The sequence below is a fragment of the Homo sapiens genome, chromosome 3 (assembly GCF_000001405.40).
Source record: "Homo sapiens chromosome 3, GRCh38.p14 Primary Assembly".
Taxonomy (NCBI): Eukaryota; Metazoa; Chordata; class Mammalia; order Primates; family Hominidae; genus Homo; species Homo sapiens.
In genome coordinates this window covers 12,145,108-12,163,895 of record NC_000003.12, presented here as the reverse complement: position 1 = coordinate 12,163,895, position 18,788 = coordinate 12,145,108, and the positions used below count along the sequence as shown (strand labels likewise).

The following is an 18,788-nucleotide window of genomic DNA, read 5'->3' as shown; positions in this document are numbered from 1 at the left end:
CATGTTTCCCAGGTTGGTCTTGAACTCCTAGGCTCAAGCAATCTGCCTGCCTCGGCCTCCCAAACTGCTGGGATTACAGATGTGAGCCACCACACCTGGCCACATTGCGCATATTTCTAAAGCAATCCTAAATTATTTTCTGGAAGCAGGAAGATTATAAATATAAAATTGTAAACTAAAAAAGTACAAATCTAGACAATAAAGGTAAAAAAAAATTCTATGCCTCAGTTTTCCATAAAGGTTCTTCCCTGAATACTTATTGGGTGCCTATTAATGTTTCTGCTGCTATACATGGTAATGGAGATGCAGAGATGATTCCATCATTCTTGTTCACAAGGAACTCAGAGTCTGGAGGAGGAGGGTGACACAAAACACATGTGTGGCAAGTGCTAACCAAGAGGTGTGTGAAGGGTGGTATGGGACAGGAGTGCAGGGAGGGGGCCTAACTCACTCAAGGGGTGGGGAGTGTAAGTAGTGAAAAGGGGGGGTAAGAGAAGAAAAACAGACACAGGTGGGGAAGAGAAAGGGAAGGCTGCTCAACCTTGAAGTCTGCTGAAGTCCTGAGTGACCAAGATCAAATCTATATATTAATAATGTTCTTTCTTTGTAAAGAAAACACCACTGTAAACTTTTTCTCTTTTTTTTTTTTTTTTTGAGACAGAGTCTTGCACTGTCGCCCAGGCTGGAGTGCAGTGGCGCGATCTCGGCTCATTGCAAGCTCTGCCTTCCGGGTTCATGCCATTCTCCTGCCTCAGCCTCCTGAGTAGCTGGGACTAGAGGCGCCCACCACCACGTCTGGCTAATTTCTTTGTATTTTTTAGTAGAGATGGGGTTTCACCATGTTAGCCAGGATGGTCTTGATCTCCTGACCTCGTGATCCGCCCGCCTCGGCCTCCCAAAGTGCTGGGATTACAGGCATGAGCCACCGCGCCTGGCCCACTGTAAACTTTAAGTGGGGGATTAATATTTCCAAAATTGGAATTATAAGCCACCTGCATTTTATGCGTATTATGGAAAGTCAGGTAGTTTTGAAATCTTTTCCTTTACTAAATTCTAATGCAGGAAATTTTTAACTTTCCATCCTGGCAAATGGACACAGTTACAGAGAAGTCATGCACTGGGCTTTTAATGTTCTGTAGCATTTTTCAGTGCTGGATATTTATACCAGGAACTTTTTAACTTTGTGCTGTGGCAGTCTGGGGAAGCCTATGGATTCCTTCCAATGAACACAATATATAAGATGTGTAACTGTATAAGATAGAGTACATGGGATCCCAGAGCTACCCAATTAGAGTTATCAAAAATATTAAACAAATCTGTGATTAGTAAAATATGTGTTTCTAAGTAACAGGAGGTAGTGGCAAGCCTAACAAGTACCATTATTTTAAAGTAGGAATGAGAATAATCCATAGAGATATGTGTCTCAACTATAAGATCTAAGATCTAAGAAAATCAGTAATCACCTTTAGTGACAAACTCCTATGTACAGGTAACTAATGTAGTCTGTCGTCTCTGTTCAAAATGAAGAGAAAGCTAAATTTCCCTTAGAGGCAAGTGAAAATGAATATTAATATATTTTCTCATCTTAGTCCACAGACCCCTCCTCTGACTTAAAAGGAACCCAGGTAAAAAAATCTCTGACTTAAGTGGCACCCTCTCTGTTATCTGAGAGTTGGCTGCAATGTGGAGGCTCAGCTTTTCCATCATCACTGAGGAGAAAACATACCCCACTCTTACTCACATGTAAGCCTTGTAGTTGTTGCCAATCTTCTGGACCCGGATGTCATACTTGGAGTCAATGAAAGGCTCTGCAGTGGCATAGGTCTGGGTGAGAGCCACCACGCTGGCAATGTCCTGGAAGTCGTAGTGGTTTTCCACTTTGACCTAATGTTAGAGCAGGGCAGAAAGGGGGAAAGGGAGACACACACATACACACACTGAGAAGTCACAAGGGCCCTGAGCCTCCAAACCCACCAATATGTATCCGATCCAGACACTAATCTGGGTGCCACATCTCCCCAGGAGGCCCCTTCTCCCTAGCTTCCCTTCCCAGAACTCAAGGGCCACACTTGCTGCAAAGGACCCAGAGGACCAAGCAGGTGGCTTGCATTCTGCTTACTGAAAGAGGTCTGGTTGGGTGACACTCATGGCTTTAGAGGTGGCAAATCATCTTCTCTTTGGAAAGAATTCATCAGTGACAGAGGGAGAATAGCAGTTCACAAATGGGCGCTCTGAAAACTGCCCTTCTTGGTTCAACCCTGAAGCACAGCAGGCCTCTCTGCCTCACCTTGCCCATGCCTGAGTGAGCGTGGCCAATCTTCACCACCACAGGGAACGTGGGCAGTGTCAGCTGAAATCAGAAGAGAAATGAATAAACTGTCAGAGTGTGCCCATCTCTCCGTGGAATCCTACACATATTTTTCTTGGGAATACCCTTGGGAGGGTTCTTTAAAGAACTAGTCCAATCTACTTGCTTTACAGATTAAAAAACTGAGACCCATGGAATGACAGTGAGTTCCCAGGGTCACAGAGCATATTAGTGGCAGTGCTACAAGAACCCTGTACTCTTATTTGGTATACCCTACATCTTTAAAATGCACTGTCAATTTTCTCTGCATTAGACAAAACCTGGGCAGGACTGGCCCTCAGACAAAGAGAATTAAAAAAAGAAAGTATCTCTGAAAGAGTGAACTTTACTATATGTAGATGTACTTTAATAAACCTGTATTTTTATTTTAAAAACACATCTTTGGCATCTTGATGTCCCTGTCAGCATGTACCCTCTTGGTACCTACAACCTTCAAAGGCCCAGCTTTCCTGTAATGATCCTGGTTGTTTTCTCCCTCTTTCACACTCTTCACTGCTCACCAATACCCCAATCTCACCACCAAACAAGGCTTTGCATGTGAAGGCCCATTTCTTCCCAGCTTGGGGTTTGAAAGAGAGCCGGTAGAAGAATTCAGTATGTTTATAAATGCAGAGAGATCCTTAGGGGAGCGAACTCTACACTGAGGTAGCCATACTTTAACAGAGGAGCAACAAAACCTTAAAAGAAGGATTATCCTCTAAGGGCAAGATTTCAAGCTGCTACAAAATGGTGATGTAAGAAGTAATATTGTGGAGTGGAAGGAGCACTGGGCTAGATGTCAGGAGACGAGTACTCTAGTCCTCTTCTGCCACGGACTTTCTACAAGTCACTGTATCTCACTGGGCCTCAGCCTTCACATCTGTCCAATGAAGAGATCAGATGGGATGCTTTCTGAGCTCCCTTCAAATAGTACATCAGCCTCTATCTTGGTCTGAACATTGTATGAAGAACCAGCCTGGATGCTAACCCGGGCATTTCATCTTTCAGTCAGACTCAGCTCTCTTTCAATTCCCTTCTTTTCAAATATCACTAACACCATCAAAATGAAAAGGTATCCTTTGAAGGAAATAATGTTGACCCTGATGAAAAGTCAGACTCCTATGGGAACTAAGATTTGAACAGATACTGGGGGTATCTGGCCTGAGGATCTCAGCATTCCTGGTTGAGGCCAGCCAAGGATGGGAAGAAGAACTTCAAAGGGCTTTAGAAATCACGTAGTTCAACTCTACTTTATGAAGAAAAAACTGAGGCCCAGAGAGGCAAAAGTCACAAAGCTACAGTGACAGTCAGAATTGGAACCCAGCCTCCCACTATCCAGTCCAGCACCATGTGGAAACATCCCACAGCAATAATCCCATGGAGATTTGGGATTTGGAGGCTTGCAACACTGTGCCCAAACAGCAGACAAGGCTCTGGTCACAGTCACCCCCAAGTCCCCTGCTTCTTTGTTTTTTCTTTTACTTTTTTTTTTTTTTTTTTTTTTTTGAGACGGAGTCTCACTCTGTCGCCCAGACTGGAGTGCAGTGGCACAGTCTCAGCTCACTTCAACCTCCGCCTCCTGGGTTCAAGCCATTCTCTTGCCTCAGCCTCCTGAGTACCTGGGACTACAGGTGTAGGCCACCACGCCCGGCTAACTTTTGTATTTTTAGTAGGGACGGAGTTTCATCATGATGGCTAGGGTGATCTCGAACTCCTGACCTCAGGTGATCAACCCGCCTTGGCTTCCCAAAGTGCTGAGATTACAGGCGTGAGCCACCACGCCCAGCCTGCTTCTTTGTTTTCTAAGCTGTCCCACCTTCTAGAACATGACAGAGTCTCCAGTGAGAAGGGACATGCAATAAAAATCAATGTAGTCTAGGGCCTCGAGAGGGCTTTGAGGTCCAAGGTTTGCCCTAAGTGATGGGACACTTTGTGTTTTGTACACCAAGAGCGCTGTCTCCAGCTATCTGGAGAGTCTGAGGCTCTGGGAGTGAGAAAGGGTTTCTAAAGCACTGGCTGCTTCTTTGACATCTCTCCCCACCCCCCAGGCAACAGAGCCAAGACACACACACCCCAACTTTCTCTGTCCTGTTCTATTACTGTTTGCTGTTGCTTTGGAGCCTCATAAATAGGGCATTGAAAGCACTTCCTGCAGCTGAAAGAAGCCCTGAGTAGCTCGTCTCATTCCCAGCGTGCAGCTCAGCAAGGGGTCCGTCCTTCTCTGTCACTGTCTCTTTTGCCTGTTGTAATTCTGTCTGCCTCTCTGGGACTCTGCCTGTCTCACTCTTTCTGTCTGTGCCTCTCCTCACTCTTGTTCTTTCTGCCTGAATCACAGCCCTCAGTTTTTCTGTCCTCATGCATTTGTCTTTGTGGCTCTTTCCGTCTTTCTGCCCTTGACACCATCCCCTCTCCCAGTGCTTCCCCTCTGCTTCCAGATCGCTTCATGACTTAGGCAGGGAAACAGAGGTCAGGGCCTCCTTCCAGGCTTCCCTCTGCATCTTACTGAGTATGCAGGTCGGAAGAGCCTCGGGTCCTGCCTCCGCGGGTGGCCTAGAGCCAAAGGAAGGCGGAGCCCGTCGGGGCGGGATTGGCCCTTAGGGCCACCTCATAAAGCCTGGGGCGAGGGGCACAACGGCCTTGGGAAGGAGCCCTGCTGGGGCCGTCCAGTCCCCCAGACCTCACAGGCTCAGTCGCGGATCTGCAGTGTCATGCCTGGGAGCCCTCGGCCCGCGCCAAGCTGGGTGCTGTTGCTGCGGCTGCTGGCGTTGCTGCGGCCCCCGGGGCTGGGTGAGGCATGCAGCTGCGCCCCGGCGCACCCTCAGCAGCACATCTGCCACTCGGCACTTGGTGAGTCCGAGGTCCGCGAGGTCCACAGCAGGGGGTGGTTGTGGGGGATTAGTATCTGGCCAGCAGTACACCAGGAGTCCAGAGGAAAAGGGAGGAGCTCAAATTCTTACCGGTTGTCTCTTGCTGAGGCTGATGGGTGGAGAAGGACCAGGCGCCATAGCAACCTTGCAAGCCCAGAACCTGACTGATTCATAAGGAAATGAAGATTTCATCAGGGACTTCCATAGCGACCTCCCTCACTCCGGCCATACTGCAATTATGGAGTGTCATTACACAAGGTGTCACCGGAGCTATCTGATGATTATTCTGAACTACTAGACTGGGGACAGAAAGGGGAGGGGAGAGGGCTTGCATTGTAACTACCCGTGTCTGTCCAGGCCTATAACTGAGGTTGCCACCAAGCCCCTATGGCAACACACACGTTCTGTCCTTTCTCTTCCCTCTGCCTGGAATGCCCTCCCTCACACCCTTAAATTCCTGGCAGACTCCTACTCATCCTTCAAGGGCTAACTTAGGTCTCTCCCCTTCTCTGCAGGCTCCCGGGCTCCTTGGTGCCGCCTCAGCATCTCTAACCGTCTTAGCGCTCCTACTATGCTGTGCTGTTGTTCTTTACACGTGTGCACTCCACTAGATCAAGAGCTCGGCAGGATGGGGACCCTGTCTTAATCACATCTATGGGCCTAGTGCCTAGTGCAAGGCCAGGCACAGAGGAAGAACATCATCAACAGTTTTTGGTTATTAATGCTCAAATGGCAAGAGATGCAATACCTCAGTGCAGGGTCAGAACATTTATGAATTCAATAAACATTTACTAATATCAACTGTAGGCGGGATGAGAGGCCTTGACCACAGCAATAGATAAACTTCACACCGACTGCCCTGAAGGGGCTCCTCCTCCCTTCTCTACTCTGACTCCTACCCTGTGCCCCACTGCACAAACGGCTATGGAGAACTAGAGCTCTCCAGACTAACTGGTTCAAAAGGCAGAAACAGCTTAGCGGTTATAGGACCTAATAAGCCTGAGGGGTTTGGAACTTCCAGTGACTGCAGGGGAGGTGTTTCCAGGTCCCCCTTCTCACACATCACGTTGCTCACAACCCAGCCACACCAAAACCAAGAACTGCCCTATAGACTTCTTCATGGACCCTGGATCATCCAGACCTCAGGTGTATTGCCCCCACCAGCTGCTGAAGGTTCCCTCTTTTCTCTTCCTATGCAGTGATTCGGGCCAAAATCTCCAGTGAGAAGGTAGTTCCGGCCAGTGCAGACCCTGCTGACACTGAAAAAATGCTCCGGTATGAAATCAAACAGATAAAGGTACATGGGGGCAGGCTGGGATGTGTAGCCCCTAAGGCTGATGGAGAAAGTGGAGTCTGTGTTCTGGGAGGGCTGGTAGCTTTCAGGTGGCCTGGCTCAGTAATCCTTGGGTCTAGATACTGAAGTGGAACTGGATGAGATTTGGAGGCAGAGCCCATAGAATCCCAGGGATATTGCCAGGGAGGGCCTCAGCATCCATCTGGTCCCACAGCTGCTGGTGTATGGTGCCACTACAGGTACCTACTGGAATAAACCAAGGTTTAGGTGTTTTTTGTTGTTGTTGTTTTGTTTTAAGAGAGAAAATAACCCAGTAGGGACATCTGAGGACACAAAATCCTCAACTAGACTTTTGCTTACATTTTTAGGCTGAGAAGTGAGAGGTTTTTGTCTGTTAATATATACAGTACACTCACTGACCCAATATTGCCTTTTTTTGTAATTGCCTGTCAGATGTTCAAAGGGTTTGAGAAAGTCAAGGATGTTCAGTATATCTATACGCCTTTTGACTCTTCCCTCTGTGGTGTGAAACTAGAAGCCAACAGCCAGAAGCAGTATCTCTTGACTGGTAAGTTAAAAGACCAACAACTGGCCTTAATATAATAGATTCTGCCCTAGGGGAGGTAGTGAGAAAGGAGCCAGGGTCTTCCTTGGGCAGTAGGCTGAGCCAGGTGGCATTTTCTTGGGCATAAAACAGAGCTGTGTTAGTGACAGACAACCTCTGGGTTAGGAGGAGCCTTGTAACCTCCCTTTAAATGTAAGAGTTCTTAGTACAGTGACCCTGGCCACCGTTTCACTATTTTAAGGACAGGCTGCTCACCCAGTGTAGGGCAGCTGCTTCCGTTTTTCAAATAGTTTAAATTAGTATAAGATTTTTGGCAACTTGAGTCGAAGTCTCCTCTCTAAAACTGCTCCTTGCAGGTCAACTCTGCCTTTTGCACAGGACTTAACAGGAGCTTGAGTCTAACATAGTTCTGTCTCTGTGAACTTGGGCCCAGGCAGGATTCCTCCATACTGAATTGGCTGGGATAGAACAGTTAAAGAATCACACAAAAATATGACTCCATAAATGAATGCAACATTAAATTATTTTGGAGTTCAGAGAACGGAACTATTTGGTAGTTGTGAACTATCAGGGAAGCTTCATTGTGTAGGTGGGATCTAAACTGGCCTGAAAACATAAAACAATATTTAGAAAGAAAGCAAGGGAAAGAAAAAGCACAGCAGTGGGGGAGGGAACAGGTGAAGGGATTCCACGATCTATCCACACATTCAGCAATGAATGACCACTTAGTCACTGCCATGCCTTGGCCAGGAGAGTGGAGATTCAGTAACAAGGCACAGTCCTTAAAAGAGTTCACTGTCCAGACATGGCTCTTGATGAGTCATAGGCACTGGAGGCTACAATGATAAGGGCTTCCTAGCTCTGAGGATGTGGAATTGTACAGAACTGAGGAGCTCCTGGATGGAAGAGGCAGAGGCAGGACACACCACTGAGCCCTGCAGTTCCCAGGTCTAGCAGACCAGGCCCTTTCAAACTCTATTATCGCACCTCCTTCCTAAGCACCTGCCCTCTGTGTGTCTAGCCCGCTGCTAGGCATGGAGGTACAGCAGGGGAAATGAGGAAACATGTTCCCTGCCTTCAGGGAGGTCAAGTCTAACTGAGGGTGGGGAGAAATGACAAAAAATAGTCTAAGAAAAGTTATCAATGGTGCCCAGGTCCTACAGGAGAAGGCACAAGCTCCTTTGCCTGGTGTTGAAAGCTCTTTGTGACCAGAACACTGCTGCCCTCTCTAGCTTTGTCAATATCAGTTCCCAGCCCCTCACTTTCCCAAGAACTGAACTCAGCTACCTGTGGTTGCAGAAGGTATGCTGCCAGGCTGTGTCTCCCTGCCTCTGCACAGGATAGTGGCAATGACAGGAAGCCCTTCCCCCAACCTGTTTGGTAGGCAGACTCCCACTCATCCCTTCAAGGCCCAATGCAAGCACAGTCTTCTCTGAGACACCTTCTTTGCCCCACACTCCTTCCATAGATGGAAATAATTGTATGTTCCTTTGTTCTTATACTGCACTTTGTATAGAACCACACAATAGTGTAATTTTTCCCTACTTATCCATCTACCCTACTCATTTCTAAGCTCCTTGGGAGCAGAGATCCTGTCATTTTTATATCTGTATTCCTGGTACTAGATCACAGCAGTCACTCAGTGAGTAAATGATTGAGCGACTGAGGTTCTAAAAGAGGCATGGGCTAGCTAGGTGGTCAGAGATGGCTTTGAGGTGGCACTGAAAGGGTCTTTGAAAGGTGAAAAGGAATCTACGGCCATACCACCCTGAACGCGCCCGATCTCGTCTGAAAGGTGAAAAGGAGCTTCATAGGTAAAAAGGGGGAAATTTCCTATGGGGAAGGTAAAAGACTCACCAATCTAGAGCAGGAGCCTGGCCTGTGCAGATACTGGGAAGGGCTGGAAAGGGGAAGGGACCTATTATTTATTGAATATCTTCTGTGGGACCACAACTGTGCTGGGAACTTTATAGACAATCTCTCATTTAATCTGACAACTTTATAATTTTCATCTTCCAGCTGAGAGGTTATACAACTTCCTTAAGATCATTCAGCTAGTAAATGACAGAAAAGAAAGGGGGATCCCACACAGACTTTGACTTTAAAGACCACATTCTTCTCTCTGTACCATGCTAAACGAAAAGGCCTTCACCAGATCCCACAACTCTGCCTCGTACAAACATAATCTGCTTATCTTTTTGCTAGAAAGATTATAGTAGTTTTATTTATTGGTCCCTTCACTGAGCCCCATGCCACCACTGCCACCAAAGTCATTGGGGAGGCTGCAATTCTGGGCTTTTCAAGGACCTGGGCCCCTGGGGCTCCAGGAGAAGAATCCTGATGCTTGACTCTCCTCCATCTCCCCTTGAAGGTCAGGTCCTCAGTGATGGAAAAGTCTTCATCCATCTGTGCAACTACATCGAGCCCTGGGAGGACCTGTCCTTGGTGCAGAGGGAAAGTCTGAATCATCACTACCATCTGAACTGTGGCTGCCAAGTAAGGGAATGTCCATTTCCAAAGTCTTTAGGGATGGGGGAAGGGTTCTGAGCCTTCATTCATGCATGAATTTATTCACTTACTAGACTATACTTGAGATCTGCACTGTATGAAGTTGGGGATGAGAAAGCAATACAGTCTATAGGCCCTGATCTCAAAGTACTTACACTTTGGCTGGGAAGGTGGCCATCACAGGAGGCAGACTGAGATAACTGTAACACAGCTACCCTTTAAAGAGAGTCTATTCTTTGCCAGCCACTGTAATAGTAAATTTACTGTAAATGTTTAATTTAGTCTCCAAAACATATTTATGAAGAATTAAGATTTCCATTTTAAGGTGAAGAAATGAAAGCTCTGGCAAGTGAAGTGCTCAAGGTCAGTGGTAGAGTAAGGACCCTCAGAGCTGTCTGACTCCAGAGATGCCACTAAGTGGCAATATTGAATATGGGGAACCTTGGGGAAGGAGAATCCAGGAGAAGACTGGGGACTGGGAAAGGCTTGATAAGATAGGGGGCATTTGAGATGGGCTGGAAAGGTACGTAGGAATCTGAAAGGCAGCAATGGAAAAAGAAGGACACCCTACTCACTTTAATGTTGTGTGGCCATGACTCTAGATCACCACCTGCTACACAGTACCCTGTACCATCTCGGCCCCTAACGAGTGCCTCTGGACAGACTGGCTGTTGGAACGAAAGCTCTATGGTTACCAGGCTCAGCATTATGTCTGTATGAAGCATGTTGACGGCACCTGCAGCTGGTACCGGGGCCACCTGCCTCTCAGGAAGGAGTTTGTTGACATCGTTCAGCCCTAGTAGGGACCAGTGACCATCACATCCCTTCAAGAGTCCTGAAGATCAAGCCAGTTCTCCTTCCCTGCAGAGCTTTGGCCATTACCACCTGACCTCTTGCTGCCAGCTAATAAGAAGTGCCAAGTGGACAGTCTGGCCACTGTCAAGGCAGGGAAGGGGCCATGACTTTTCTGCCCTGCCCTCAGCCTGTTGCCCCTGCCTCCCAAACCCCATTAGTCTAGCCTTGTAGCTGTTACTGCAAGTGTTTCTTCTGGCTTAGTCTGTTTTCTAAAGCCAGGACTATTCCCTTTCCTCCCCAGGAATATGTGTTTTCCTTTGTCTTAATCGATCTGGTAGGGGAGAAATGGCGAATGTCATACACATGAGATGGTATATCCTTGCGATGTACAGTATCAGAAGGTGGTTTGACAGCATCATAAACAGGCTGACTGGCAGGAATGAAAACAAGAACATACTGTGGCTGTGTATCCTCTACTTCCCCTGTCTCAACTCATCCTAATCCTCTGATACACTTTCATCTGTTTGGGGGAGTCATTTGGGAGACACAGAATCACTCAATGTGAGAGCCAGAATGGACTAACCTGCCTTCCAATGCTGTTATCCCCTCTATACCATTTCTGGCAGAGGGTCCCACCTGGTTAGCACACCTCTTTGAATAAGAATGCACTTACTGTCTCAGAATAGGTACTACCTCTCCAAGTTAACTATCCTTAATGCCCTCAACTGATGTCCATAAGGCTTCTCTTCTGTCTCTTTTAAATTACTAACATCTTCATTCCTATTTCAGAACTTTTTAAAAGCCACAAAGCCTTTTTCTTACAGAGCTGAAATCCCCCTTTGTTGGCTTTTTACACCACAGAGAGGTGGTCCTCTCTTGAGGGCAAATTTCAGGATAGAGCACCGGAGAGAAATAACACAAAGGCCCTTGAGGGAAAAGCACGGTAGGTAGGGAATATACCTGGCAATTAAGGCAGTTTTTTTCCAGCAGCCAGCCCTGCTAGATGCTACAGCAGGAAAAAGCCAGTTTTGATCCCCAGAGAGCCCCCTGTACCCTTCAGCTGAGTACTCTCACCATTGTGCCTTGGGCTCCCTGAGATTCCCCAACCAAAGGACCCTCAGGGCTCCTCAGCCTCTGCAAGGCTTCCTGGCTTGCCCTGAAAGGAAAAGTCCTGATATTGGCCTCTAGGATTTATTAAGGACAAGAGCTTAGAGTTTCAGAGCTTCTCCCTGGGGAAGCTCTGGCAAAGATGACAGAGATGGTTCTTTTCAATGCCCAAGGTTGTTTTTTGATATGTGGTCTGCTGGTGAGCAGGGCCATGCACAATGTGTCAGAAGGCTCTTGATTTGCAGAAATGGTGTAAATGGAGACCCCTTTTGGCCAAGGAAGTGGGGAGGCGGGCACAAACATAATCTCTGTTCCACTTGGAATGCTTCGCAGGGAGTCTCCATTGGTGGGTTAAGCACGATCACCAATTGATCACACCAGCCTGGGGCAGAGGGTGTGGGGACAGGGAAGAAGAAGGGAGTTTGAGCTCCAGGTCCCTGCACGGGAAAAACATTGGCAATAGCCTCCTTACCAACCAACCGTCCCATCTCTCTGCTCCTTCTGACTTACTAGGATGGCCTCAGAGAAGGCACAGTGTTAACCCAGCCTTATCACAGTTGTGGAAGCGCCAGGGGAATGGGAGAGTCAGGGGATTAATAATAGTAGGAGCAATGCCTTACATCTAGTAGATGCTTCACACTTTCCCAGAAGCTATTACTTAATGAATCTCACTTAAATTGTGTCTGTACCATATTAGAATATCCTGTGCAGGGATAAATATGCCCACTTGACCGTCTTATTGGAAACTGCACACAGTGAGGAAATGCAGCTTGTTCAATGACAAGTGGCAGAGCCAGGGCTGGGACTCAAAAGCAGTGAGATCTGATTGTTGGTCCAGAAGTTTGTTATTCTCTCAGCTTGATTAAACTGCCCTTACTCCTGTTTTTCCCTATTCTATCTCCAGAATTTGACAAGAGGCTGTCAGCTAAAATCTAGTTATTCCAGCCGCATAAGCTCTATAGTTCAACCCCAGTGGAGTCTTTGGGGTTGAGATGCTGAGGCCCTTTTCAGAGCCCCACAATAACCAGGTGGCTAAGTGCAAAATGAAAACAGCAGAAAGACTAATGTCCCCACTGAGCCACTTACCATCTCTTTGTGGTTGGGGTAGTATGTCTGTTCAATGAGAGGGAACTTTTCTCCTCCCAGTGTCTTATAGATAGCGACCAGCTGGGCAAACTGCAAAAGAAAAGCAAATGTTACAGCTTATCTTAGATAACTTCTGAAACAGATGAAACATCAACTCATCAAATATTTATTGAGCATTTGCTCTGTGGAGGACTTTATGCTAAGCATTGTGAGGATATAAAAGAAGTGTACAATTCCTATTTCCAAGGATATGATACGCATTAGTTGGGGAAGGGAAAGAGAGTGAGCTAAAATTCAATTACCTTTCTCAATTGTAATGATGTTTCAAATCAAATTGATGAACTAGTATTTTATCATATTCATTTTACATATGGGGCCCAGAGAGGATACAAAACTTGCCTATAGTCACAGAACTGCAAGGTGAAGCTGGGATCAAAAATTGGGTCTCTGACTTTCCACACCTGCATCTCTGAGTGATCGCAAGGCATGAAGCTGGATAGGTGACATGGGCCAAGTCTTGGAAGTTCAAACGTCAGGCAAAGGAATGATGGATTTTTCCAGTAAGCAGTATGGAATCACCAAGAATTTGAGCAGGAGGCATCATAAAATGAAGCTGTTCTTCAGGAAGATTAGAATGGTCATGGTATGTGGGATAGACAGGCCCAGTCTTTCTGGGACTTACTACCTAACGAGGGACTGAACTTACTGGACCCTTTGCCTACATATGAGAAACTGGAATAGCTCCATGGGGAAGGGGCAAAGTACACATACTTACAGTGTCAGGGTTGAAAGGCTTTCTTAGTGCACACCTGGGCTCCCCCACCCCGCTCCATCTTATAAATGAAGAAGCTGAGGCCCAGAGAGGTCACTTGCCCAAAGTCACACAGTAGTTGAGCCAGGTTCACAGCAAGGCCCCTTCATTTCCAATCCATAACTCTCCTTATTCCTGCAAGTAGCTGCCTTTCAGGCTCTGTAGAAACTATGCCCTTTCCACAGGAAATACAGGACTTTCCTGCTCAATCCAGTCACATACACACCTACACTCCCATCCCCAGTGCATCAGCAGCAGAGGAAACACATCTCTCTAGGGCTACTGGATTAGTTCACACTCGAAGCCACTGGTATCTGGCATGGCTAGAAGGGAAAGCTGCTAGATGAAATCTATTTATCAGAGAAAGGAAGGCTAGAACATTTTTCAACAGCTCAGGTCCTGTTCTCTACAAGCGATACTGGCACATAAGCCAGGGAGGGGAGACGAGGTTGGGGCAGTAAAAGCTCGGAACTGGGTTGTTAGAAAACTGGAATCTTCTGATTCTTGTTCTGTTAACTTCCTAGGTGTCCTTGGGCAAATGAGTTTTCCTCTCTGGATCTCATTTTCTTCATATATAAAATGAGATGGTTAAATTTGATCAGTTCCTCAAACTTTGTACCATAAAGAATATCTCTTTATTATATTTCCTCCCAAACTCTGCTATCAAACTGTAGTTTAAGTGATCATCTGTTGTGGTCCTTTTGTAGGTATAGATATGATTTTGTTATTTTTGAAATGCTGGAAAACACTGGAATTCCTAGGTCCCTCCCTTTAGTGACAAACAATTGGTGACTCTAGAGCTCTAGGGCCTCCTCCAGGACTGAAAGGATGATTCATGGACCCTCAAGCCCCTAAGATACCATTGTCAAAAGGGACTTTATAGAGTCTCTAGGCCAGCCCTCTGATTTGACAAATTGAGATTGAGGCTGGAGAGCAAAGGAAAGTGCAGGCTCCCGGATCACATCCTGGAGTCAGGGCTGCACTGCAAGAGCACTCAGGTCTCTTCTCCTTGCTGGGTGCATTCACCATTGTACCCTGCTGTCCTCACCGACTTTGGTCCTTCAATTTGCTTTAACTGTCAAGAACGAACCCTCAGACCTTTCCTGCCTTCTCTGATTCTCCACACCTGCTCATCTGACCTTTACGTCCTGCCTGCCCATCTGGGCCTGGCTGGACTTCTGCTCTGCCTCTGGACACCTGCCTGTGCTCCTAAGGCTCTCCAGCATCCCTAGGGAGTTAATGCCAGCTCTGCCAAACGACCTCTGTCCTGCTGCAGCCCACGCTCTGGCATGGCACCAAGACATGTGGGGCCCTACCTTTCCAGCATGTGGGGGAGTTACACAGACACCACACAGATGCCAGGACAGCCTGTGGCAGACTCCCAGAGCCCTGGGACAGCCAACACAATAATGGCAGCCAGTTCCCAGGCTCTCGTTGGGTCTCAGGGAGCTCACCCCACCCTCCTCTCCAGCAGTCCCTGTCTGCTCAAGGTAGTGAGCTTGGCATCTAACCCATAGCTCCCTGGAAACTTAGATTAAATCACAGCCACACAGTCACCAATTAAACAAATGTAACATCTGATAAGGGCTGTTACCTCTACACATAGACAAAAGAATGAATTTGGGAGCTGGGGGTGCTGTTGGCAATTAATAGGAAGATATGTCCATTATAGCCACTCATCCAATGAATCAAGAAAGATTTCTTGGAAAAAAATGGGATTCCAGATCCATTTGAGTAATGTGTCCCTATGCCTATCACTCCTGGAAATTAAATGATTTAATTTAACTCTGGTGCACTTATCTCCAAAAACCCAGAAAGACTCACGGAATTTCAGATAGACTGGCAGCAATAAACGGTGGTGCCATTCTTGCTTTGTCTGGAATGCTGCTTTCATTGACAGGTCCACTTCTGCTCCCCAAATCCCAGTGGCTTGCCCTGACCAACTTCAGAGACAGCAATGTGCTCAGAGACACAGCTGTGCAAGGCAGAGCCTTTTCCAACCCAATCAAAGTATCTCCTCACACCAACAGCAGTCATAGTAAAGATATTGAGAAACACAACCCAAAGTCATCAGCTGAAAGGGACCCTCCCCTCACAGTCACCAAATTTGTCCACTCCCATGAACTAGCAGAGAACAATATGTAAAACGTCATTCATGTGGCAGCTGCTTTGTGAAACTGAAGGGAGAACTTGGGGTCTGGCCAGGGAGCCCTGCTGTTCTCCTCATGCAGGGCCCAAGGCAATGTGCTCAGATTGTGAATGGGTGAGAGTGTGACCCCTCACCAGATCCCAGATCCCGGGAGGAGCAAAGCCCTAGCCACAGGCTCTCCCCATTCTTCCTGCCCTGGCCTCTGGCACAGTTTAGGAAAAGAAAACAGGGAACACATTTCTTTTTTTTTTTTGAGACAGAGTCTCGCTCTGTCGCCCAGGCTGGAGTACAGTGGTGCGATCTTGGCTCATTGCAAGCTCCGCCTCCCGGGTTCACGCCATTCTCCCGCCTCAGCCACCTAAGTTGCTGGGACTACAGGCACCTGCCACCACACCCGGCTAATTTTTTTTGTATTTTTAGTAGAGACGGGTTTCTCTGTGTTAGTTAGGATGGTCTTGATCTCCTGACCTCGTGATGTGCCTGCCTCAGCCTCCCAAAGTGCTGGGATTACAGGCGTGAGCCACCACGTCTGGCCACAAATTTCTTTAAGAGAACCCATACACTAGGAGCCTGTAACAACCAGGCTGTCAAAGTGGTGGCAGGTGCTACTATTATTCCCAGTTTGTAGATGAAGAAACTGGGGCACAGGTTCGGTCAGAGAGTTGATAAGCAGTGAAATCACCCAGAAAAAGCTGCTAATAGCAGGATCACCCTGTGTGGCTAGGAGAGAGTCAAATTCTGACAAGTACCGGGGGTGCACGTGGGTTAGGACACGTGTGCCGTAGGAAGGACATGTGACTGAGGAGAAAGGGGAGGTCCACAAAAAAGACACTTGGTAAAGGTCTCACATATGCTCTTCTGTGATTGGCAACATACTAAAATCACACTCTGTTAGCGTGTTTCTGCAGAATCTAGGATTCCAGATGCCTCAGGCCACGCAGAAGGAAAGGCTGAACAAGTGGAGCTTGGGAACCCAACCCCCTCCTTAACCATGGCAGCTCCCAGCCCTCCTGACTACTTGTCCATTGATCTTTTTCTTACACTCCAAGCTCTCCCTGGCTTCAAAAGGAAAAAGAAAGCTGTTAGTTCCAGGGTGAAAAAAAAGATCAAGATCAGAAGTGACAGATCTGTTTGGTTAACACACACACATACACACACACATACACACACACACACACCCCTCTTCAGCTCTCTGAGTGGTGTAAAGGCGTGGAAACTTCACAATTAGACACAAGTTCCAGGAACCTTGGCAATCCAGGGCGTGTGACAGCTGAAATTTCATTTTTACAAAACAAGAAGGGCTTACTGCATCTTGGGGTCCAGAAGTCCCTCCTAGGGGCCTGGAAGATGCAGGGTCTGGATCCTAGCCTTTTACCTGGGGGAAGGGGGCCTCACTTTCCACCCATGGCTTGTCACAGAAGTTATAAATGGATTCCAGTGAGTTGATGCAGGGGAGGCCTGCATACTGCAAGCCAATGAGGATGTGATTAGGGGTAGGTGTTACCTTCTGAGAGGGCCAGCCTGAAGTAGCAGAGCCAGCAGAGGAGCTGGGTCCCCTCAGTGGTCGGAGGGGAAGCCAGAGTGCCCCCAAAGCCATCATAAGTCACTCTCCCTCCTAGCCCCACTTTTTCTATCTGCCTAAAAGTTTCCACTGCCCTCCTAGATTTCCAAATTGGCCAAGGAAGAGAAAACCAGAACAGTTTCCTCCTTATATAGGAGCCTCAATCTATGGGAGAGGCAGTGGGATGTAGAGAAATCCTGGCACTGTAACTTTGGCAAGTTACTTAATCCTTTTTGGGTTTTGTTTCTCTGTAAAAAGTGACAATAATGATATCTTCCTTGTAAGGTGAGGATTAAATGAAATTAACAGAAAAATCTCAGAAACTGGCATCCTATAGTAAGTAGTTTTCTACACCTTACTTTCCTTCTTTAATTTTCATATCTCTATCATGAAAGGTTAAGGTCAGAATTAGGGTTAGGCTTTGATGATCTCCAAGACACTTCTAGCTCATAAGTATTTGATTCACATGCATGAGGATAAATTTCATTTTCAGGTTGCTGAACCACTTGGTAGGACTCTGTCACTACCTGAGTTGGACTATTCCCTTGGTTGTCACTGGGCTCAGGCCTTTCCAAAAGTTTAATCATTCTAGGAGGCAAGAAACAGACATTTTTATCATTGCAGCCTATGGCCAAGGGCAGAGCCTACAGACCTATAAGGGCTTCTTCACGGTATCTTTGTGCGACTTTGTTGTGAGGCCAAAGGTCCACTCCGCAGCAAAGGTGCTGAGCCTGTGACAGGTGATGCTGTGCTATTCTGATGGCCAGCCCTCCCCCATGTCCCAGGGGAAGCTCCTCTCACATCCTCTTAGCTGGGGCCAACTGCATCTTGAGGACCCTCCTAGGGGCCTGGAAGATGTAGGGACCCTCCTGGGGCTGGGGCCTACTGCATCTTGAGTCCCTGCTAGGGACCTGGGAGATGTAGGGCCTGAATCCTACCCTTTTACTTGGGGGAAGGGGGCCTCACTCACCACCCATGGCTTGTCACAGAAGTTGTATATGGATTCCAGTGAGTTGATGCTGGGGAGGCCTGCATACTGCATACCAATGATCAGGTGGCGGAAGTCCTCATTCTCCGCCATGCCAAATGCATGCTGCCGGATGAGCACGAAGTCTGGCCGGAAGGACCTGGTGAGAAGGTAGAGGCAGGTTTGCCATTAACCAGCACTTCAGGCCATACATCATTTTGGTTCCCATTTCCAAAACCCAAGATAAAGAAGAGGGCTTAGGAACCACCTAGTCCAAGCCCCTCATTTTACTGTTGTTATTTTAGAGACAGGTCTTACTCTGTTGCCCAGGCTGAAGTGCAGTGGCACAACCATAGCTCACTGTAACCTCAAACTCCTGGGTTCAGGTGATCCTCCTGCCTTAGCCTGCTAAGTAAGTAGTACTACAGGCACACATCACCATGCCCAGCTAATTCTTTATGTTTTGGAGAGACAGGGTCTTACTTTGTTGCCCAGGCTTTTCTTGAACTCCTGGGCTCAAGTGATCCTCTCGCCTCAGCGTCTCAAGTAGCTAGGACTATAGGCAAGTGCCATGACCCCTGGCTAATTTTTTCATTGTTTGGAGAGATGAGGTCTCACTATGTTGCTCAGGCTGATCTCAAACTCCTAGGCTCAAGTGATTCTCCTACGTCAGTCACCCAAAGTGCTGGGAGTGCATGCATGAGCAACGGTTGTAATTTTATTATTATTAT

General features: G+C 47.3%; 2 protein-coding genes across 7 annotated transcripts in view; one reads left to right on the top strand and one right to left on the bottom strand.

Annotated features, from left to right (window-relative positions):
* The window catches only part of SYN2 (synapsin II), a 187,645-nt gene that overhangs the window by 28,137 nt on the left and 140,720 nt on the right, over positions 1–18,788 (bottom strand). For 3 of the 6 annotated variants that reach the window (NM_133625.6, NM_003178.6, XM_006713311.4), the window contains exons 4-7: positions 18,061–18,217; positions 12,570–12,659; positions 2,288–2,350; positions 1,742–1,884 (exon numbers count right to left, since the gene is read on the bottom strand). In NM_133625.6, coding sequence (NP_598328.1) covers positions 1,742–1,884; positions 2,288–2,350; positions 12,570–12,659; positions 18,061–18,217 — 453 coding nt within the window. Of the gene's footprint in view, positions 1–1,741; positions 1,885–2,287; positions 2,351–5,304; positions 6,005–12,569; positions 12,660–15,204; positions 15,421–16,928; positions 18,218–18,788 lie in introns of those variants that run through there. The other 3 variants (XM_006713312.5, XM_006713313.3, XM_017007087.2) reach the window with 3 other exon arrangements.
* TIMP4 (TIMP metallopeptidase inhibitor 4) lies at positions 4,984–10,828 on the top strand. Its single transcript, NM_003256.4, has 5 exons — positions 4,984–5,194; positions 6,414–6,511; positions 6,962–7,076; positions 9,445–9,569; positions 10,184–10,828. Exons 1-5 carry the CDS (start codon positions 5,056–5,058, stop codon positions 10,379–10,381), a joined length of 675 nt encoding a protein of 224 aa, NP_003247.1. The 5' UTR covers positions 4,984–5,055; the 3' UTR covers positions 10,382–10,828.